Here is a 19,063-nt window from a genome sequence, read left to right as displayed (position 1 = left end):
CCTCAGCACTGTCTGCTGTCCTCAGGGAAGGTGGGGTCAAGTGGCCATAACCTGTCCCCTTCAAACCCAGTCAGGTCAAGTGCAATGCAGTGAGTTGAGCTTTAGTCCACCCAAATCCACAAGTAGCTGGTTCACATCTCTTTAATGAGATCAAAGGCTCCTGTGTATGTCCTGCGGGGGTAAAGCTAGCACAGTCCCCCAATACTGCCCCTCTCCAGCCCTTTCAGGCAGATTCTAGGTAGGCAGGGAGGGGCCAAAGGAACGCAAGGAGTTGGGACTAGGGCTGTTTCTGGTGGGCAAGTAACCCATCCACCCTCTCAAAACTACTTATGGGATGTCCCCTTCACTGGAAGACAGCCCCATGGGAAAGATCTGCGGTACAGACTCTGGGGGTAGTGCACACGGGGAGTAGTCCTCCAGATCTGGCAGGGTGGCACTAACCCTCACCTCCTTGACTGGCTCACCCTCACCGGAGGCAGGACAAGGGCAGAGCTCAATACCGGAGTCGCCAGTTAAACGGCGATAGCGGCAGGAGGGGGGTGTGGAGGCAGGGGTCACCCCTGCCCCGGGCTCACCCTCCTGATGAGGGGGGGCACTCTGGTGGGAGGAAACACCTTCCACATTTGTTCCTTCAAAGTGGGCAGGGCAGCTGGATGAGGAGGAACAGCAGGTTTGTTCACTGGAAGCAGTCAAGGGGCGGCCTGGGGCCACAGTATAAGGGGGGGGTGGTGTGCCTGGGCGGTGAACCACATCCTCGTAGGCTGGGGGCTTGAAGGTGCTGAGGAAGCCTGCAGGGGAGAAAATTGGCATGATTGGTTGAAGACAACCAGGTATAGGGTGCTAGTTTTTATATTAGGGAAAAATACTTTGAAATGTGTGGAAAAGGGAATGTGAGACGATTTGGGGTTCTGGTTTGGGGAGGGCCACTGGTAGCTGACCCAGGGCATCAAGTCACTCACGAAGGTCAAGCAGTGAACCGGTAGGGAAAGGACCAGCCCCATGGCATGCCCCATGATAGGCCAACAAGTTGATTTCACGCTGCCGCTGCTGTTGTTGCAGCCTGAGTTTAGCTCGTCGGTGGCGGAAGGCGCAACAGCAGCTAAAGAGGATGAGGACAGTCCAGAGCAGCCAGAACCCTGCAAGAGGCAAGGAGGGAGCAACTCAGGCATCTTTCATGCAGAGAAGGGGCCCTGAAGGCCGAAATTCTGAGGTCCAAGGGAGGGTGGACACAGGGACCTGGAAATAGCCCTCTTGGAGACTTACACCAGAGCTCATAGTAGTAGGTGCAGCAGCCAGTCTCCCCGCAGCAGTGACCACTCTCACAGAGGTAGGGCTGGTTGTTCACTCCTGGGCACAGCTCTCGAAGCTGCGGGCAAGGAGGCACTTAGAACTAAGGGGGATTCCAGCCCAGGGCACTGTCCACCCCCACCTCCTGCATGCACATACACAATCCCACCCTGTGAACCAAGTTCAGCTTGGAGAGATGGGGGAAGTGGAGGATGCTGAGAGGAGTGTTGAAATATCTGAAGGGCTGTCAACGTGGAAGAGGATTTGGAATAGCAAGAATCAGTCTAGAGAACAAGACAAAAGTGTGGACATACAAAGAGGGAGATTTCAGCTCTGCATATATGAGACTTCCTTCACACTCAAGCCTCACTCTCCCCAACCCCCCTACCCCCATCCCCTCGGTGCTTTCTGTTAAGGGAGTGTTTTGGCAGAAGCCAGAAGACAGTCTGAGATAATCTCAGTCTCAGACAACGGGTAGCGGTAGGTCATTTCCAAAGCAAGTTGCTTTCATTATCCTGCGCGGTTCACTACCCCCCACCCGCAACTGGATCTTTCCACCCCTGGGCCTCAGGCTCCCTAGGATAGAGGAGGGGCAGTGTGAGACCCAGAGCAGTGCTCCCAACCAGATGGGATTGCTGTGGATGATAAAGGATGGCATCCAGGGCGCGAGTCTGGGTTCCAGCTCTTCTCCAAATTGCTCCCTCAAGAGAAGACGCTGCCGGACTCTGTTGTGACAATAGGCACATAGAAAAAGATCACAAATAACTGTTGCAAGACAGAGGGAGCCTCCCTGGGACCTCACTATGCCTCTGGTCACTGGAGAGCCACCGCAAGCTTCCACTGCAGCCATGGGATGGGTTCTATGAGGCTACAGGCAAAGTCAGCTGCATCTACGTTACAAAGTTTAGACAAAGAGTGGAAGAGACATGTTTAGGAACTTCACAGTACCTTTGGCTCCGTGAGTTCCTCCCCCACCCCCAAAAGGAAGGGACAAGGAAAGGGGAAAGAGACAAATGGCTGTCGTGATAGGTTTTGGAGCTATTGGGATACCTGCTGTTGCGGCGCCCGAAGTGCCCCCCAGGCCTCCTCGCTGCCGTTCCCGCTGCTGGCCCGAGCCATACCTCCACCTACAGCCCCCTGAGGACCACAGCCTCCTCTACCGCCAGCCGCCCCGCCCCTGCCACCTCTGCTGCCACCGCCATGGTCCCTGCCCGGCCCATCTTCGCTGAGGCCACCATCACTCCGCGGCCGGAGCTTCCATCCGGGCAGAACTCCACCAACTAGGACTCAGATTGCTCTGCCCTACCAATCATCATCGTCCCTTGACGGACGGGCCAATAGGAACAGATCAGAGGTTTCTCCCTGTGACCAATCCACAGCAGCGCCTCCGCCGCTCACCCAGACAACAAGAGCTTGTACAGACAAAGAGTAGGTGAAGGTTCGACCCACGGCCCTGACTGACAGCGGCAATAGCCAATACAGACAACAGAACAGGCTCTGGCATATCAACCAACGAACAGCCGCCCCGAAGAGCAAGGTTGCCGCTGATTGGCTTGCGGTATGTTTTCGGAATGACGCCAAAGGCCGAAGCACGCCAGGTAATCCCGGCTGGAAGAGGCGGAGTCCCAAAAGTCGGTCCGCTGGTTTGCAGCCTGGTTTTTTGCGGTGGTTTCCAAGCCCCAGGCATCGACGCAAGCTCCGACAGGGGCAAAATACGTGTATACCGGAGACTGGTCTGCCCACAACATCCCACTCCCCCAGTTCTGTACAAGCCGAAGCACCGGATGTAATTTAATAGGGTGGGGAAGATACTCAAGAGCGGGCATGGGACGGGGCGCAGAGTCCGGGTTAAGGGCCTTACGTAGCCAAAAGGGGGGATCCAGGACCCTCGGGCCCCCCCAGCCGCATCTGCAGGTTGATGCGGTAGCACTGAAGACTACAGAGTGCCTGGCCTGTGCGGGAGCAAGCGTAGCGGCGCGGATGGGGACAGCCGGGGACAGAGCAGCGCGGCGGCGGGCCTGAGGGGGATGGCCGCTGAGACACTGCCGTGGGGGCGGGGACGCCAGGTGGGAAGGAAAGGGTGGAACCCTGTGCTCCGCTGCAGTAGCGCACCATGGGGGCCGGAGCCGCAGCCCGCCCTCCCCGCCGCTCGCCCCGTGCGCCCCCCCGGCCTCCCCGCCCACTGGTCGCCGCAGTCTTGGTGAGGCGCTCGATAGTCTGGTTCTTGTGCTCTTCTGCCCGCCGCGCCGCCTGGAGCCGCCGCTTCCGCGCCCGCTCCTCGCGCTTCAGCAGCATCTCCTCTGTGAGGGCGGGAGGTGGGCAGCCCTCAGCTACAGGCAGCGGCAGCATAGGGGAAGGTTGACTCCGCGCCTTCTGGAGCAGAGCTCGCTAGGGAGAGACAGAGACGGGGTGCTGTCTGAAAATGGAGGAAGATGGAGAGGCGAGGTCGGCCAGATCGGGGGAGGGGAAAGAAGGGACATGGAAGGCAGGGTCTTGAGCAGTGCAGGCCTTCGGAGGCGGGATATTAATTAATGAGCACCCTCTCCAGGACACCTTCCATAGGTTCCTCTTCATAAATACTGCCTCCTCCCAGATCTCCTGACATTTAGCTTTAGGTCCTTATCTCTCAAGGGGAGAAGCATCAGTAATGTTACCTGCCTGACCTGTGCACCAAAACTGTACCAGCTTTCCCAGAGGTCTGTTGTTATTTTTAATCTTATCTCAATAGAGAGTATCAGGTGGATAACTGCTCAAGCCAAAATCCCAGGCTTAGCCTTGATATATTTTCTCTCCATTCCCCTCCCCACAAGTATCTACTTCCAAAATATAGCCATAATTCATCTGATTTTCTCCATCTCCACCACTTTCGTCTTGGTTAAAGCAACCACTGCCTCTCAGCTGATTACTTCAACAGCTTCCTAGTTGTTCTCCATACTTCTATCTCTTGTCTCCACGAAGATTCATTCTCTACAAAGATGCCAAAGTAATCTATTGAAATGTAAACCAAGTATGTCACTTCTCTGCGTACAGCCCTTCAGTGGCTTGTCCACTTTTTCTTCTCCTTTGCTAGACATGTTCCAGTCTCAAGGTCTGTGCGCCTGCTGGTCTCTGCTCAAAAGCTCTTCTGGTATTGCAAATGTTATCTCTTCAAAGAAGCCTTCTCTAACTACCCTAATGTCTCTCTTCCATCATTTCTATCTGTTTGTTTACGCCACTTTCTATTTCATCACCCTTTTCTTTTTGTCATAAACCATATAGCTTTTTGAAATTATTTACTTATTTACTTCCCAGCCCCCCAACACACACACTAGAATACTAGCTCCAGGAGAACAGAAACTTTGTCTTTTCTCTACTATCGATATCCCCAATGCCACGCAAAGTGCGTGGGTCGTGGAGAGTTCTCAATACTGTATACATTTGGTGAGTGAATAAACAATGAACCAACATACCTGTCGAGCAGTAAGCAGCCGCTCATTGATCTCCTTCTTGAGGTCTCCATTGTCATCCAGCTCCCCCTTCTCCAGGGCATCCAGCCACCTCTGTTCCTCCTCTTCCTCCTGACCCCCTAACCCTCCTGATAGGTCCCGAAGTGGAGAGGGAGAGAGATTACTGTCTTCATCTGGGAAGGAAGTTGGAGAAAGAAAAACAGAATTGTTCAGATGGGGCACCCTAATTTGGCTGAGTTAATACTGGGACATGGAAAATCCTAACCCATTTCAGAACCAACCTTCTTTCTTTAGGCGGGTATAATAAGAAACCCAGTTTCCCCACCTCCAGATCCTCACCCAGCCAGGCACGGTACTGCTCAAGGGGGACTCCTTCCATAGGTTCCTCTTCATTATCCACAACCATAAGGGGAGAGGGTGAGCGAGGCCCCTCTGGGATCACAGTGAAGGTAGGAACACTGCAGAGAAGCAACACTACTCTTTAAAATGAGCAAGCGTCTCCTCCTCCTACTCCGTAGCTACACCCAACTTTCCCCACCCTCTTAGACTCTTGCTGCCTAAATCTGGACCCTGAAGTCACAGTGTCCATTCGGTCTTCTAGAAAGCCCAGTCGGCTTCTAACTACTATCTCTGCTCCTAAAGTTCCCCTTATAAAACTATGACCCTCTTGGCCTCACCTCTTGGTCCCCAGGACTTGTCCCCCAAGCTTGATTTTGAGTTTGAGCTGAGGCTTGGCAGGGGACGGCTGCGTGGGCCCGGCGTCTTCTTCCTGATGGTGTTTCTTCTTGTGTTTCTTCTTGTGCTTCTTGTGTTTTTTCTTGTGCACTCCATGGCCATGGGCACCCGCCAGGCTCAACTCCAGGGCTTCTCCTGTGGAAGGAAAGCCTGTCGACAGTGTTTGGCCGGAGGGTGGCAGGGGAAGCCCTGAATAACCTAAGCCCCTACTGGATCCCACCCTTCCCGCAGTACTCGCTGTTACCATAACAACAGCACCGCCTTTCTCCTTGCCACCTGTGGCCGAAGTACCCTGGACTCTCCGAGGAGCAAGAACGGGACTTCTTTTCTAACACGACCTAAATTGCTTGATCTATTCGCGCTTACCCGGCTCAGGGGCCTCCATAGCCCCAGAGGTGCTCCCACGCCGCCACAGCTTACTCATGAGGTCCTGCGAGGAAAGGGGACTAGAAATGGTTGGGACACACGCAGACACGCCTTTTCCGCCCCGCGGAAAAACTGGAGCCAGCAAAACAACCAGTTACTTCCGGTTCATGGCAACCATCCTTGTGCGGGGCACGCTTCGCGTCCAAAATCGTCCCTGAGAAACGAGGATCCTTCCAACGAACGTTCCGGTCCCTCTGAGGTCGGGACAGCCCAAATGGGCAGGGCTTTCCCCTGGCTCCGCCTCCCCACGCTAGCTTTCAGAACTCAGCGCGGATGAGTCAATTATTGAACACAAGTTTGGTGAATGTATACACTAGACCAAGTGCGGGAAGCTAGTCTAAGAGGATGCAAAGATGAATATGAACACCGCCCCTGTCCTTGAGGAACTCACAGTTGGGTGGAGGAATACATAAACTATATTGATGACAAAATGGCCGAAATGGTTAAACAGCACGAGTGCCCTAAGAGCAGATGCAGTTTAGGTATTTAAACTTCAATTTTCATAAGTAGGGAAATGAATAAATGAATTACGGTGCAGCTGTACAATGCGGAACACCATATTGCTAAGAAAAGTTGAGTTGTAAGTAATTAATGAGATTGACACAGAATTTAAACAATCTAAGTGTCCTGATGAATTGGTGTATCCATACAGTGGGATGTTAAGCAGCTTGGAAAAGAAATGAGGCGCCCCAGAAGGCTATCTAGGAAATTGGTAAGAGTCATTTGCTGATGAGCATCTAGAGAACAAGGGTGGATGGCGACCTATTTTTTTATGATTATACCCTCTTGTGCCTTTTGAATTTTGTATAAAACGTGTATATTTTACCTCATTTTAAAAAAGACATAAAAACAGGTAGGTTTGTATGTGCTGATACACGAAATAAGAAAAGTAAATTTCCCATCCTGGCTAATACGATGAAACCCCGTCTCTACTAAAAATACAAAAAAAAAAAAAAAAATTAGCCGGCGTGATGGCACGCGCCTGTAGTCCCAGCTACTCGGGAGGCTGAGGCAGGAGAATCGCTTGAACCCGGGAGGTGGAGGTCGCAGTGAGCCGAGATCGCGCCACTGCACTCCAGCCTGGTCGACAGAGCGGGACTCCGTCTCAAAAAAAAGAAAAAAAAAAAAAAGTAAATTTCAAGATTATGTGATCTGATTTTTAAAAGCATAATATACTAGCAAATACATAGAAAAAATTGAGGAATGTATACCTGTTAATGTTGGTTAACTGTAGAAGTTGGGGTTGAGGAACTTTCACTATTTAGGTATGTAATGTATTTTCTTACAGCCAATATATATCACGTTTATAATTAGAAAATAACACCTATATACATATATCTAAATATATATGAGTGTCTGAGCAAGGTAACAGCAGTGAAAAGTCTCTTACATTTCAGTGATAAAATTATCAAGAATCAATGAGCAATTATATTGGGGAATCCAGGATTAAGTCATGTAGTATGTGATTATGAAAAGGGATTTTGGAGTCAGACAAGCCTATTATCAAATCCCAGTTTCACCATTTATTAGCTATGCAACCTTGGGCCTAAAATTATTTAAGCTCTCTGAACCTGAGAATCCAGCTCTATAAGATGGAATACAGTAGGATCCACCGCTATGAGGGCTCTTTCAAGGAATAAAGGAAATCAAGAACTCATGATACTTAGGGTGGCAGCAGGCACAGGCACAGGCACATAGTAGATGCTTCAGTAAGCAAATAATAATAACTGACTCATAGGTTTCTAGCCTAAGTATTTAGCGGGAAGGTGGTATTTTCAGTAAGGAAGATAACATAGGAAGAGAAGCAAGTTAAGAAGGGAATTATTTAGTTTTGCCCAAGGCGACTTTGAAGTGCCTGTGGGAATGCCTGGGTGGAGGTGGAATAGCTGAGAGGAGAAACCAAGGATGAAAGTGTGAGTGGGGATGTCATCAGCGTAATACTGGAGGCCCCCAAGTGATGGGAGTAGATGAGACACCCAGAAAGAGTAAGTAGATAAGAGGAAAAGAACCAGGAACAGAACCAAGTGAGCACCTGTCCTGCACAGCCAGGCAGAGGGGCCAGACAGGGTTGAGAAGGTCAGGAAAGGCAGAAAGTATCAAGGGACTAAGGCTGTGATCAGCTGGGTACAGTCCTTCAGAGGGTAGGCTGAGCTCCAAGAAGAGGATGGATTTTATCACAGTGTGAAGGCAATACTCTTTTATCACCAGGAGTTACAGTGAGGGATCACTTGCAATTCATATTTGTAGAATACGTTAGAGTTTATAACCTGCCTATATATTCCTTCTCTCCCTTGGCCCCCACAGCATCTCCATAAGGGAGATACCATTGTTTCCATCTTATAAATGAGGAAACTGAGGCTCAGAAAAAGAAATGTTTTTGCCAAAGTCACAAAGTTAGGGAGTGGCAGAGCCAGACTCAAACAGAGGCTTCCTGACACCTGGCCCAGTGGTGTTTCCTCTGCATCATGATGCCCAGCAGGGAGGAAGTGGCAACAGTAAGTGACAACTGGCTTCATTATTTTGTTTGTTTTTAGTTTTGCTTTGTTTAGAGTGAGAGAGATTTGAGCATGTTTGTAGGCTGAGAGGCACTCTTCTTTCTGAAAGACTTCTTAGTCGTATTTTAAAAAATTATTTTGAAATAACTTCAAACAGAAAAATTGCAAGATGAATACAAAGAACTCTCTCTAATAAAGTTTTTGTTTCGTTTTGTTTTTGAGACAGGGTCTAGCTCTGTCTCCCAGGCTGGAATGCAGTGGCGCAAACACGGCTCACTGCAGCCTCAAACTCCCAGGCTTGAGTGATCCTCCCACCTCAGCCTCCCAAGTAGCTGGGACTACAGCTACACACCACCAAGCTTAGCTAATTCTTTTTTTTTTTTTTTTTTTTTTTTTTTTTTTTTTGTAGGGACAAGGTTTGGCCATGTTGCCCAGGCTGGTCTCAAACTCCTGAGCTCAAACGATCCTTCTGCCTCAGCCTCCCAAAGTGCTGGGATTACAGGTGTGAGTCACAGTGCCGGGCCAAAACTTTCTTATCTCCTTAAACATTCCATGTGTTTCAGGTTAACATGGAATGCCCGACATGGTTGGCGGGTGGGGCAGATTCTGAAATTTTTTTTTTTTTTTTTTTTGAGACGGAGTCTCGCTCTGTCACCCAGGCTGGAGTGTCGTGGTGCGATCTCGGCTCACTGCAAGCTCTGCCTCCCAGGTTCACGCCATTCTCTTGCCTCAGCCTCCCGAGTAGCTGGGACTACAGGCGCCCTCTACCACGCCTGGCTAATTTTTTGTATTTTTAGTAGAGACAAGGTTTCACTGTGTTACCCCAGATGGTCTTGATCTCCTGACCTTGTGATATGCCCGCCTCAGCCTCCCAAAGTGCTGGGATTACAGGTGTGAGCCACCGCGCCCGGCGAGATTCTGAAATTGTTAATATTTATCTGTGTTTATGCCCATTATCATTGTCAGTGAAAAGAGTCAAACTCTAAAATATTTGAAGAGATTTATTCAGAGCCAAATATGAGTGACCAATGGCCTGTGACACACCCCTCAAGAGATCCTGAGAACATGTGCCCAAAGTGGTCTGACTACAACTTGATTTTATACATTTTAGGGAGACATAAGACATCAATCAATACATGTAAGATGTACGTTGGTTTGGTCTGGAAAGGCAGGACAACTGGAAGATGGGGGCTTCCAGGTATTGTGTAGATGCAAAGGTTTTCTGATTGGCAATTGGTTGAAAGAGTTAAATTATTGGCTGGCTGTGGTGGCTCACACCTCTAATCCCAGCACTTTGGGAGGCCGAGGCGGGTGGATCACCTGAGGCCAGGAGTTTGAGACCAGCCTGGCCAACATGGTGAAACCCCATCTCAACTAAAAATACAAAAATTAGCTGGACATGGTGGCACATACCTGTAACCCCAGCTACTAGAGAGGCTGAGACAAGAGAATTGCTTGAACCCAGGAGGCAGAGTTTGCCGTGAGCTGACATCGAGCCATTGGACTCCAGCCTGGGCAAAAAGAGCAAAACTCCATCTCAAAAAAAGAAAAAAAAAGCGTTAAATTATTGTCTAGAGACTTGGAATCAATAGAAAGGAATGTCTGGTTGAGATAAGGGGTTGTGGAGACCAAGATTTTATCATTCAAGTGAAGCATCCAGGTAGCCAACTTCACAGAGAATACACTGTAAATGTTTCTTATCAGACTTAAAGAGTCTGTTATATCAGTAATTGCAAAAGGGAGGAGGGTATAACAAGGCATGTCCAGCTCCCCCTTTCCCATCATGGCCCATACTAGTTTTTCAGGTTAACATGGAATGGCCCAACATGGTTGGGGGACTCAGAATTTTATTTTTGGTTTACATCATTATTCTTTTTCTGATCAACATGATAGCAAGTTGCAGACATGATGTCATTTCACCCCTAAATCATGCAGTGTGTACTTCCCTCAAACAAGCACAGTTTTCTATAAGCTTTGTGCAACTGTCCCAATCAGGAAATTAACCTGATACATCATTAATCCAGACCCCATTCAAATTTCACCAACTGTGAAATACCTCCTTTTTCTTTTCTTTTTTTTGACACGGAGCCTTGCTCTGTTGCCCAGGCTGGAGTGCAGTGGCACAATCTCGGCTCACTGCAACCTCCACCTCCTGGGATCAAGCAATTCTCTGCCTCAGTCTCCTAAGTAGCTGGAATTACAGGCTCCTACTACCACCCCTAGCTAATTTTTGTATTTTTAGTACAGATGAGGTTTCACCGTGTTGGCCAGGCTGGTCTTGAACTCCTGACCTTGTGATCCACCTGCCTCAGCCTCCCAAAGCGCTGAGATCACAGGCATGAGCCACCGCGCCTGGCCTCGTTTTTTTTTTTTTTTTTTTTGAGACGTAGTTTTGCTCTTGTTGCCCAGGCTGGAGTGCAATGGTGCAATCTCCGCTCACCGCAACCTCCGCCTTGCGAGTTCAAGCAATTCTACTGCCTCAGCCTCCCAAGTAGCTGGGATTACAGGCATGCGCTAATTTTGTATTTTTAGTAGAGATGGGGTTTCTCCTTGTTGGTCAGGCTGGTCTCGAACTCCCAACATGATCTACCCACCTCGGCCTCCCAAAGTGCTGGGATTAAAGGCGTGAGCCACTGTGCCTGGTCCTCCTTTTTGTTTTTATCCAGGATCCAAATTTAGGATCATTTATTACATTTTTAAATTAAGTCTCTTTAATCTGTTTTAATCTGGAACATTTCTTCACTTTTACCCGGTCTTTCATGACCTTGACAAATTTAAAGGGTAGAAGTCTTTAATTCTATAGGATGCCCATCAATGTGGGTCTGTCTGGTGTTTCCTCAGGTCTATATTTATACATTGATTGATTGATTGAGACAGAGTCTTGCACTGTCACCCAGGCTGGAGTGCAGTGGTGTGATCTCGGCTCACTACAATCTCTGCTGCCCGGGTTCAAGCAATTCTTGGGCCTCAGCATCCTGAGTAGCTGGAACTACAGGTGTGCACCACCACGCCCAGCTAATTTTTGTATTTTTTGGTAGAAATGGGGTTTTGCCATGTTGGTCAGGCTGGTCTTGAACTCTTGGCTTCAAGTGATCTGCCCACTTCGGCCTCCCAAAGTGCTGGGATTACACTATGAGCCGCCACGCCTGGCCTAGACTTATAAATTCTTGGCAAGAACACCACACACACAAAAAATTGATTTCTTTTTTTTTTTTTTTTTTGAGACAGGGTCTCATTGTGTTGCCCAGGCTGGTCTTGAACTTCTGGGCTCAAGCGATTCTCCTGCCTCAGCCTCCCAAAGTGCTGGGATTACAGACGTGAGCCACCATGCCCGGCCCACAAAAACATTATGCTCTGTTCTTCTCAGTGTGTCACACTGGGAGGCTCATGATGTCAGCCTTTCCCACCACTGATGCTATTAACCTTGATCACCTGGTCAAGGTGCTGTCTGCCAATTTCCTCCACTGTAATGTCACCATTTTTGTCTTTCCAAATAATAAGTATTTTCTGGGAAATACTCTGCAACTACCCTAATATCCCATTCCCCGTCAAACCTCCACCCACCAGGCTTTGTATCCATTGATGACTACTGTATGAATCAACTCCAGTATAATAATTGCCAAATGGTGATCTATTCCCATTATTGCAGTTACACGTATTAGTTAGCATTCTACTGTAAGAGCTTTCTCTTCTCCTCATATTTATTTACAGATATATTTATTTGTTTCAGCATGGATTCCAGTTTTAATCAGTGGGTTGTAACCCATTGCTGTCATTACTTATTATGATGCTCAATTTTTAGAGGGGGACAGAGTCTTGCTCTGTTGCAGTGGTCCAATCATAGCTCCCTGCAACCTTGAGCTGCTGGCCTCAAGTGATCCTCCCACCTCAGCCTCCTGAGTAGCTGGGATTACAGGGATGTGCCACCCTGCCCAACTAATTAAAAAAAATTTTTTTTTCTGAGATGGAATCTCGCTCTGTTGCCAGGCTGGAGCGCAGTGGCGCAATAATCCTGGCTCACTGCAACCTCCACCTCCCAGGTTCAAGCGATTCTCCTGCCTCAGCCTCCTGAGTAGCTGGGACTACAGGCATGCACCACCATACCCAGCTAATTTTCAGATTTTTAGTAGAGACGGGGTTTCACTATGTTGGCTAGGATGGTCTCAATCTCTTGACCTCATGATCCACCCGCCTCGGCCTCTCAAAGTGCTGGGATTACAGGCATGAGTCACCCCTCCCAGCCTTTTTTTCTTTTTTTTTTTGAGACACAGTCTCACTCTGTCACCCAGGCTCGAGTATAATGGCATGATCTCGGCTCACTGCAACCTCCACCTCCTGGGTTCAAGCAATTCTCCTGCCTCAGCCTCCCAAGTAGCTGGGATCAGAGGTGCCTGCCACCACACCTGGCTATTTTTTTTGTATTTTTAGTAAAGACGGGGTTTCACCATGTTAGCCAGACTGGTCTTGAACTCCTGGCCTCAAGTGATCCACCTGCCTCAGCCTCCCAAAGTGTTGGGATTACAGGCGTGAGCCACCATGCTAGGTGGCTAATCTTGTACTTTCCCTGGAAAGAAGTGAGACTCAAATTTCCCTGGATAAAATATTTTTATTTCCCTGGATAAAATGTTTTGGGGCTCATCTCATACTTTCACTGGATAAGAAGCGAGACTCAAAGGAGGCCAGGCAGCACAAACTTATGGCTGAGGTTATGCCAAGGCCACACTGAAGTCAGGCGGCTTGAACATGCTGATGAGGATTTTCTGCTGGCACCACTACCCCCTTCTCAGGTACTGCAGGTACAGTGAGTGTATATCATGAACTCTGGCTGGGTCTTGTCTGCACTCCCTCAATATTCAAAGTCCAGTTGGGAACATTCCAGTTAGTTGGGTTAGGCCAAGTGCCTACCTTTAGGCTGTGAAAAAGTGGGAAGAAGGATAAATGTTCTCCAACTGCCATAAAGGGGCTAGAGCTCATTCTGTCAATACTGTCCACAGTAGGGAACTGTGCAGAAATAGAAGATGATTTGAACCCTAGGTGACCCACAGCCCCTTTCCCACATATCTACTTCATAGCTGGGGAGATATAGATACAGACATAAACAAAAAGATAAAGTTGGGAAGACTGTGCACCAAACCAGTGGCATGTTGGTAAATGTTTAACAAAAGCTCCCCAGGGGGGAAAAAAACCAGGCTGGATTTGTTATGTTCACCTATTTCTGTTGTGTAAGGACTCCCACCATGGCCAATTTCAAATGAGACATCACTGAATACAGAGTTGGAAAGAGATGTGCATTGTCATGTCATTTATATAGCATTCCCTCCATACAGATACTAAAGATGTAAACTACTCAAGACGTCGTCGTAAAATGCAGTAAAATAATTAGGAAGTGATGAGTTTTGAATATTTGTCACCTTTGCTTTAATAAAATTGATTTAGTTATATGTTTATGTAATTTAATTTAATTTTTTTTTTTGGAGATAGTGTTTCACTCTTGTTGCCCAGGCTAGAGTGCAATGGTGAGATCTCGGCTCACTGCAACCTCTGCCTCCCGGGTTCAAGAGATTCTTCTGCCTCAGCCTCCCGAGTAGCTGGGATTACAGGCATGTGCCACCACACCGGCTAATTTTGTATTTTTAGTAGAGACAGGGTTTCACCATGTTGGCCAGGCTGGTCTTGAACTCCTGACCTCAGGTGATCCACTGCCTCAGCCTCCCAAACTGCTGGGATTACAGGTGTAAGCCACCATGCCCAGCCTTAATTTAATTTTGTTTTGTTTTGAAACGGAGACTCGCTTTGTCCCCCAGGCTGGAGTGCAGTGACCTGATCTCGGCCCACTGTAACCTCTGCCTCCCGGGTTCAAGCAATTCTCCTGCCTCAGCCTCCTAAGTAGCGCCCAGCTGATTTTTGTATTTTTGGTAGAGACAGAGTTTCACTATGTTGGTCAGGCTGGTGTCAAACTCCTGACCTCGTGATCCACCCGCCTTGGCCTCCCAAAGTGCTGGGATTGCAGGCGTGAGCCGCTGTGCCCAGCCCGTAATTTAATTTTTAATTAAGGCAATGTTTAGCAACTGGCATGCCCAATTCCAGAAAAGTCATCAACACGAACCGCTGGTGTGAGCTTCAGCACTTGAATGCACCAAACTGTCTCAGTGTTTTCTTCTGGAAGTGGAATAATTGAGGGTGGGGAAGGCATACTTTTATTCATTTTTTTCATTATTTACATTATTTAAAAAACAGTGGCATTTATAGTGTTTAGAAAACTGTACACGTACTTTCAAATATTTTTCAAATGAAATTTAATTTAAAAAATAAGTCTGGCCTGGCGCGGTGGCTCATGCCTGTAATCCTAGCACTTTGGGAGGCTGAGGCGGGCAGATCACGAGGTCAGGAGTTCGAGACCAGATTGAACAACATGGTGAAACCCCATCTGTACTAAAAATACAAAAATTAGCCAGGCGTGGTGGTGGGCGCCTGTAATCCCAGCTACTCAGGAGGCGGAGGCAGGAGAATCGCATGAACCTGGGAGGCAGAGGTTGCAGTGAGCCGAGATTGCGCCACTGCACTCCAGCCTGGGTGATAGAGCTAGACTCCATCTCAAAAATAAAAATAAAAATAAAAATAAATGCATGCATACATACATACATAAATCCATAGAAATTTTGACCCTTATCTCTCCTCCCTCAGTTGAGTGCAGTGTTAGTTGGCTTCCCTGACTCCAGTCACAACTCCTCCAACTGACTAATGGAAAAGGCTGCCAAATTACGATCTCTAAAGTTAATTCTGGGAGGAGGAACAGTGGTCACGCCTGTAATCCCAGAACTTTGGGAGGCTGAGGCAGGAGGATCACTTAAGGCCAGGAGTTCAAGACTAGCCTGTACGATGCTGTCTCTACAAAAAAATTTAAAAATTAGCCTCGCATGGTGGTGCACGCCTTTAGTCCTAGCTACTCAGGAGGCTGAGACAGGAGGATTGCTTGAGCCCAGGAGTTCAAGGCTGCAGTGTATTATCATGGCACCACTTTGCTCTAGCTGGGTAACAGAGTGATATATATTATATAAATATATATATATAATATAATATAATATAATCCTGATCATGTCCCTCCTTCCCAAAAATCTTCAGCCACATTGAGTACAAACTCTCAGGCAGGATTTGAGCTCAACCTCCTTTTTGAAGATCCTCCATTCCTCTGCCTCCTTCCTGGGTCTCAGGCCAGGGGTTTTCAAACCCGTCCACAGAGCTTGTGTTCACTGGGGGAGCAGGGAGCAGCTGAGCACCTGTGGGTAGACAAGGCATGAGGCTCTAGCACCTGCTCCCATCATAGCAGCTCTGATTTGATTTCACACATTTCAGGTAAGATTTCATTAAAAAAAAAAGGTTCTGTTGCTTAAAAACAAACATTTGAAATGAACTATCTTAGTCCAACAGGATGGCACATCTCAGTCAAGGACTCTCAAATCTGTTTGCTTCTCTTTTATTTACTTCAACTGATGTTTATTGATCACTTGCTATGTCCCAGGCACTGGGGATAAGACAGACTGCCCCTCCCTAGAAGGCTTACAGTTCAGAGGAGTGATGATGAATATTTGAATAAATTAAGGAACAATATCTTTCCCTTTCTTTCCCCTCACACGTCTTTTGTGGTTAATCTCAGATGCCATGGACTTTATAAATCTTTTGATCTGCCTTTCCTACTGACCAGAAGAACTCCCTTCTCCATATAAAATTTTGTGTGTGGAGGATGTTGGTTGTTTTTCCTGTTCATTTTCCATTCTCTCACCTTCTGGTGGTAGTGGTTGGAACATTCTTTGGGGAACAACCCTCCCCCACCTTCTCCCTCCCAGTTCACTGGGTTCTGGTTAGTCTCCAGGAGTGGGCAAGTGACCCCAAGCCTGGCCAGCTGGCACCTAGAACCTCCTTAGCCACAGCAATTGGTTCAGATCTGGCCACCGTCTGACTCCAATGATTGGTTTGGGATGGATGAATGATCACAAATGTCTCACAGCGAATCCCAGACGTGTAGGAGCCTCAGGAAACAGATGCTCTCTTTTCAGCTGAATTTAAGCCTGAAAAGATATAGACCCAGAATTTTGGGCAGCAATTTCGTTACACTGTGGAGAGTGAAGCCAACGTGGAGGAAAGTAGAGCCAAGTGATGGGAAGAGACTGGATATTCCTGACACTCAATGAGTGGGTTAAGCCACATCTAAAGCTTGACCCCTGGCTCATTTGTTTGTATTGGCTCAGTTCCAGGAGCCGATGCATTTCCCCTTTTGCTTTAGTACTTTTCAGTCAGCTTTTCCAAAAGAATGTTGAAATGATTTGCCATAGCAAAACATTTCTAATCTGGACTCTCTAAGAGCTCAAGACTGGTATGTCTCTGGGTCCAGCCAGCCTGCCATGTAGGAGTCTCACCCTTTCTCAAGTTCTGTGTTCTGAAGCCTTCAGGAGATCTGTTTATGTGTGATCAGCAAGTTAATCCTTTGCCATTTCCTTCTCTTCCACTGGGCTTTCCCCAGAGGGGGCAAGAAGGGAACCCTGTTTTTTGTTTGTTTGTTTGTTTGTTTGAGACAGAGTCTCGCTCTGTCGCCCAGGCTGGAGTGCAGTGGCACGATCTCGGCTCAGTGCAAGCTCCGCCTCCCAGGTTCAGGGCATTCTCCTGCCTCAGCCTCCTGAGTAGCTGGGACTACAGGCGCCCGCCACCATGCCCGGCTAATTTTTTTGTATATTTAGTAGAGACGGGTTTTCACCGTGTTAGCCAGGATGGTTTCGATCTCCTGACCTCGTGATCTGCCCCCCTTGGTCTCCCAAAGTGCTGGGATTACAGGCGTGAGCCACCGCGCCTAGCGGGAACCCTGTTTTTATGGAAGCAGGGAGTGGTAAGTCCAGCCGGGCAAGTCCAGCCATCCAGCAAAGCAGCTGATTATATCTATATCTATCTATATCTATATCTATATCTATATCTATATCTATATCTATATCTATATCTATATCTATATCTATCTATATCTATATCTATCTATAGATAGATAATATTGGCCAGGCGTGGGCCACGCCTGAAATCCCAGCACTTTGGGAGACCAAGGCGGGTGTATCGCCTGAGGTCAAGAGTTTGAGACCAGCCTTACCAACATGGTGTAACCCCATCTCTACTAAAAATACAAAAATTAGCCAGATATGGTGGCAGACGCCTGTAATCCCAGCTACTCCGGAGGCTGAGGCAGGAGAATCGATTGAACCCAGGAGGCAGAGGTTGCAGTGAGTCGAGATCATGCCATTGCACTCCAGCCTGGGTGACAGAGTGAGACTCTGTCTTAAAAAAAAAAAATTAAAATAAATAAATAAATAAATAAATAAAAATAAAAAATTATACATATTTGTAATGCTTTTTAAGAGATGGGGTCCCACTATGTTGCCCAGGCTGGACTTGAACTTTCGGGCTCAAGCAATCCTCCCACCTTAGCCTCCCGAGTAGCTGGGACTACAGGTGTGCACCACCATGCCAGGCCAATTTGTGTGTGTGTGTGCGTGTGTGTGTGTGTTTTGTTGAGACAGGGTTTCATGTTGCCCAGGCTGGTCTCCAACTCCTGAGCTCAAGAGCGATCAGTCCCCCTTGGCCTCCCAAAGTGCTAGGATTACAGGCTTGAGCCACTGCACCCAGCCATCTTTTTTTTAGACGTAGTTTCGCTCTTGTTTCCAAGGGTGGAGTGCAATGGTGGGGTCTCAGCTCACCACAACCTCTGCTTCCCGGGTTTAAGCGATTCTCCTGCCTCAGCCTCTCAAGTAGTTGGGATTACCGGCATGTGCCACCATGGCCGGCTAAATTTTGTATTTTTAGTAGAGATGGGGTTTCTCCATGTTGGTCAGGCTGGTCTCGAACTCCCAACCTCAGGTGATCCACCCTCCTAGGCCTCCCAAAGTGCTGCGATTACAGGCGTGAGCCACCGCGCGCAGCTGCTCTTTATGACTGCAAATATGGGGCACTTGCCTTGTGCCAGGCACTATGCTGGGCATTTTACCCTCATTCTTATAGGTAATCCTCATAGCAACTTGAGGAGTGGAGATAATTACAGTATTCCCACTGAACAAATGAGAAAACTGAAGCTCAGAAAGGCCAGTGACTGGACCAAGTTAATGATTGCACGGTTAGTTAGTGACAGAGCTGGGGTTTCACGACGTGTTTAAGCACCGCCCCATCAGTTGTGGCCACTAGGCTTAGGCGGATAGCCTCGCAGAGGAGCCTAGGTGGGGAGGGGGACGAAGAAGGAACATTTGGGACTGTGGGATGTTGAAATGGTCTCTTCGGAGGCTGCCGGGATTGAAACTGGGCAAGGTCCCAGGGCCCGAGTAGAGCCAGAGCGTGCTACGCGGCGATCCCTGAGCCACGGGGTTTTCAGCGCCCGGGAAGCCAGGCTTGCCAGGTTGGGGCGGCTGGCGGGGCAGGGCTTCTCGGTCCGTCCCAAGTCCAGGTAGGCGCTCGCGACCCGCGCGGGCAGGGAGAACGCGCTCCCACAGTGCTCGCGAGGTGCAGTGCGCCCCTGGGGGCTCCGGGGCCGTCGGGCCAGGTCGGCTTGGCGCCCAGGGACTGGCCGGACGGGCTGGGCCTTTGGCGGGGGTGGAAGAGGAGGTTGCCGCGCCCTGCCCGGCCCAGGTGTCGTCTCCGGGGGCGGGGTTT

The 19,063-nt window shown here is 48.6% G+C and overlaps 2 protein-coding genes and 1 long non-coding RNA gene across 3 annotated transcripts, besides 9 other annotated features; all 3 read right to left on the bottom strand.

Annotated features, from left to right (window-relative positions):
• On the bottom strand, window positions 118-5,986 carry INO80B-WBP1 (INO80B-WBP1 readthrough (NMD candidate)). The gene is made up of 8 exons (NR_037849.1): window positions 5,835-5,986; window positions 5,411-5,603; window positions 5,073-5,191; window positions 4,737-4,906; window positions 3,149-3,675; window positions 1,264-1,366; window positions 960-1,136; window positions 118-788 (listed from the first exon to the last, which is right to left on the bottom strand). It is a non-coding gene; the product is annotated as an INO80B-WBP1 readthrough (NMD candidate) (long non-coding RNA).
• On the bottom strand, window positions 128-2,571 carry WBP1 (WW domain binding protein 1). Its single transcript, NM_012477.4, has 4 exons — window positions 2,338-2,571; window positions 1,264-1,366; window positions 960-1,136; window positions 128-788 (listed from the first exon to the last, which is right to left on the bottom strand). The coding sequence occupies exons 1-4, from the start codon at window positions 2,404-2,406 to the stop codon at window positions 328-330; spliced, it is 810 nt and encodes a 269-aa protein (NP_036609.1). The 5' UTR covers window positions 2,407-2,571; the 3' UTR covers window positions 128-327.
• Window positions 2,139-2,248: an enhancer, noted in NCBI's record as "active region_16059". NCBI's record gives its function as "activates an Ori minimal core promoter by ATAC-STARR-seq in GM12878 lymphoblastoid cells {active_cell/tissue: GM12878}" and the evidence as "EXISTENCE:reporter gene assay evidence [ECO:0000049][PMID:35858748]".
• Window positions 2,139-2,693: a biological region, named in NCBI's record as "H3K27ac hESC enhancer GRCh37_chr2:74685443-74685950".
• Window positions 2,186-2,693: an enhancer, noted in NCBI's record as "H3K27ac hESC enhancer chr2:74685443-74685950 (GRCh37/hg19 assembly coordinates)". NCBI's record gives its function as "activates a minimal SCP1, AML or CMV promoter by ChIP-STARR-seq in naive and primed H9 embryonic stem cells {active_cell/tissue: H9 hESC(naive and primed)}" and the evidence as "EXISTENCE:reporter gene assay evidence [ECO:0000049][PMID:30033119]".
• Window positions 2,694-3,200: an enhancer, noted in NCBI's record as "H3K27ac hESC enhancer chr2:74684936-74685442 (GRCh37/hg19 assembly coordinates)". NCBI's record gives its function as "activates a minimal SCP1, AML or CMV promoter by ChIP-STARR-seq in naive and primed H9 embryonic stem cells {active_cell/tissue: H9 hESC(naive and primed)}" and the evidence as "EXISTENCE:reporter gene assay evidence [ECO:0000049][PMID:30033119]".
• Window positions 2,919-3,068: an enhancer, noted in NCBI's record as "active region_16058". NCBI's record gives its function as "activates an Ori minimal core promoter by ATAC-STARR-seq in GM12878 lymphoblastoid cells {active_cell/tissue: GM12878}" and the evidence as "EXISTENCE:reporter gene assay evidence [ECO:0000049][PMID:35858748]".
• On the bottom strand, window positions 3,065-5,922 carry INO80B (INO80 complex subunit B). Its single transcript, NM_031288.4, has 5 exons — window positions 5,835-5,922; window positions 5,411-5,603; window positions 5,073-5,191; window positions 4,737-4,906; window positions 3,065-3,675 (listed from the first exon to the last, which is right to left on the bottom strand). The coding sequence occupies exons 1-5, from the start codon at window positions 5,890-5,892 to the stop codon at window positions 3,145-3,147; spliced, it is 1,071 nt and encodes a 356-aa protein (NP_112578.2). The 5' UTR covers window positions 5,893-5,922; the 3' UTR covers window positions 3,065-3,144.
• Window positions 3,319-3,558: a silencer, noted in NCBI's record as "silent region_11663". NCBI's record gives its function as "represses an Ori minimal core promoter by ATAC-STARR-seq in GM12878 lymphoblastoid cells {active_cell/tissue: GM12878}" and the evidence as "EXISTENCE:reporter gene assay evidence [ECO:0000049][PMID:35858748]".
• Window positions 3,699-3,768: an enhancer, noted in NCBI's record as "active region_16057". NCBI's record gives its function as "activates an Ori minimal core promoter by ATAC-STARR-seq in GM12878 lymphoblastoid cells {active_cell/tissue: GM12878}" and the evidence as "EXISTENCE:reporter gene assay evidence [ECO:0000049][PMID:35858748]".
• Window positions 5,819-6,408: an enhancer, noted in NCBI's record as "active region_16056". NCBI's record gives its function as "activates an Ori minimal core promoter by ATAC-STARR-seq in GM12878 lymphoblastoid cells {active_cell/tissue: GM12878}" and the evidence as "EXISTENCE:reporter gene assay evidence [ECO:0000049][PMID:35858748]".
• Window positions 18,982-19,061: a silencer, noted in NCBI's record as "silent region_11662". NCBI's record gives its function as "represses an Ori minimal core promoter by ATAC-STARR-seq in GM12878 lymphoblastoid cells {active_cell/tissue: GM12878}" and the evidence as "EXISTENCE:reporter gene assay evidence [ECO:0000049][PMID:35858748]".

This window comes from Homo sapiens, chromosome 2 (genome assembly GCF_000001405.40).
Source record: "Homo sapiens chromosome 2, GRCh38.p14 Primary Assembly".
NCBI lineage: Eukaryota > Metazoa > Chordata > Mammalia > Primates > Hominidae > Homo > Homo sapiens.
Note: the sequence above shows the minus strand (reverse complement) of the source record. Positions and strands in the feature narration are given on the sequence as shown.

Bases quoted from the DNA above. Each gene is read 5' to 3' on its own strand.
- INO80B (NM_031288.4), bottom strand. From the start codon at position 5,892: ATGAGTAAGCTGTGGCGGCGTGGGAGCACCTCTGGGGCTATGGAGGCC. The intron at 4,907-5,072 runs GTGAGGATCTGG...CTTCCTTCCCAG, and splicing joins GCAGTACCGTGCCTGGCTGG to ATGAAGACAGTAATCTCTCT. The intron at 3,676-4,736 runs GTATGTTGGTTC...GTCTCTCCCTAG, and splicing joins GGCTGCTTACTGCTCGACAG to CGAGCTCTGCTCCAGAAGGC.
- WBP1 (NM_012477.4), bottom strand. From the start codon at position 2,406: ATGGCTCGGGCCAGCAGCGGGAACGGCAGCGAGGAGGCCTGGGGGGCA. The intron at 1,367-2,337 runs GTATCCCAATAG...CCTTGCCCGCAG, and splicing joins TTCGGGCGCCGCAACAGCAG to CTTCGAGAGCTGTGCCCAGG. The intron at 789-959 runs GTGAGTGACTTG...TCTCCCCTGCAG, and splicing joins CGGTTCACTGCTTGACCTTC to GCTTCCTCAGCACCTTCAAG.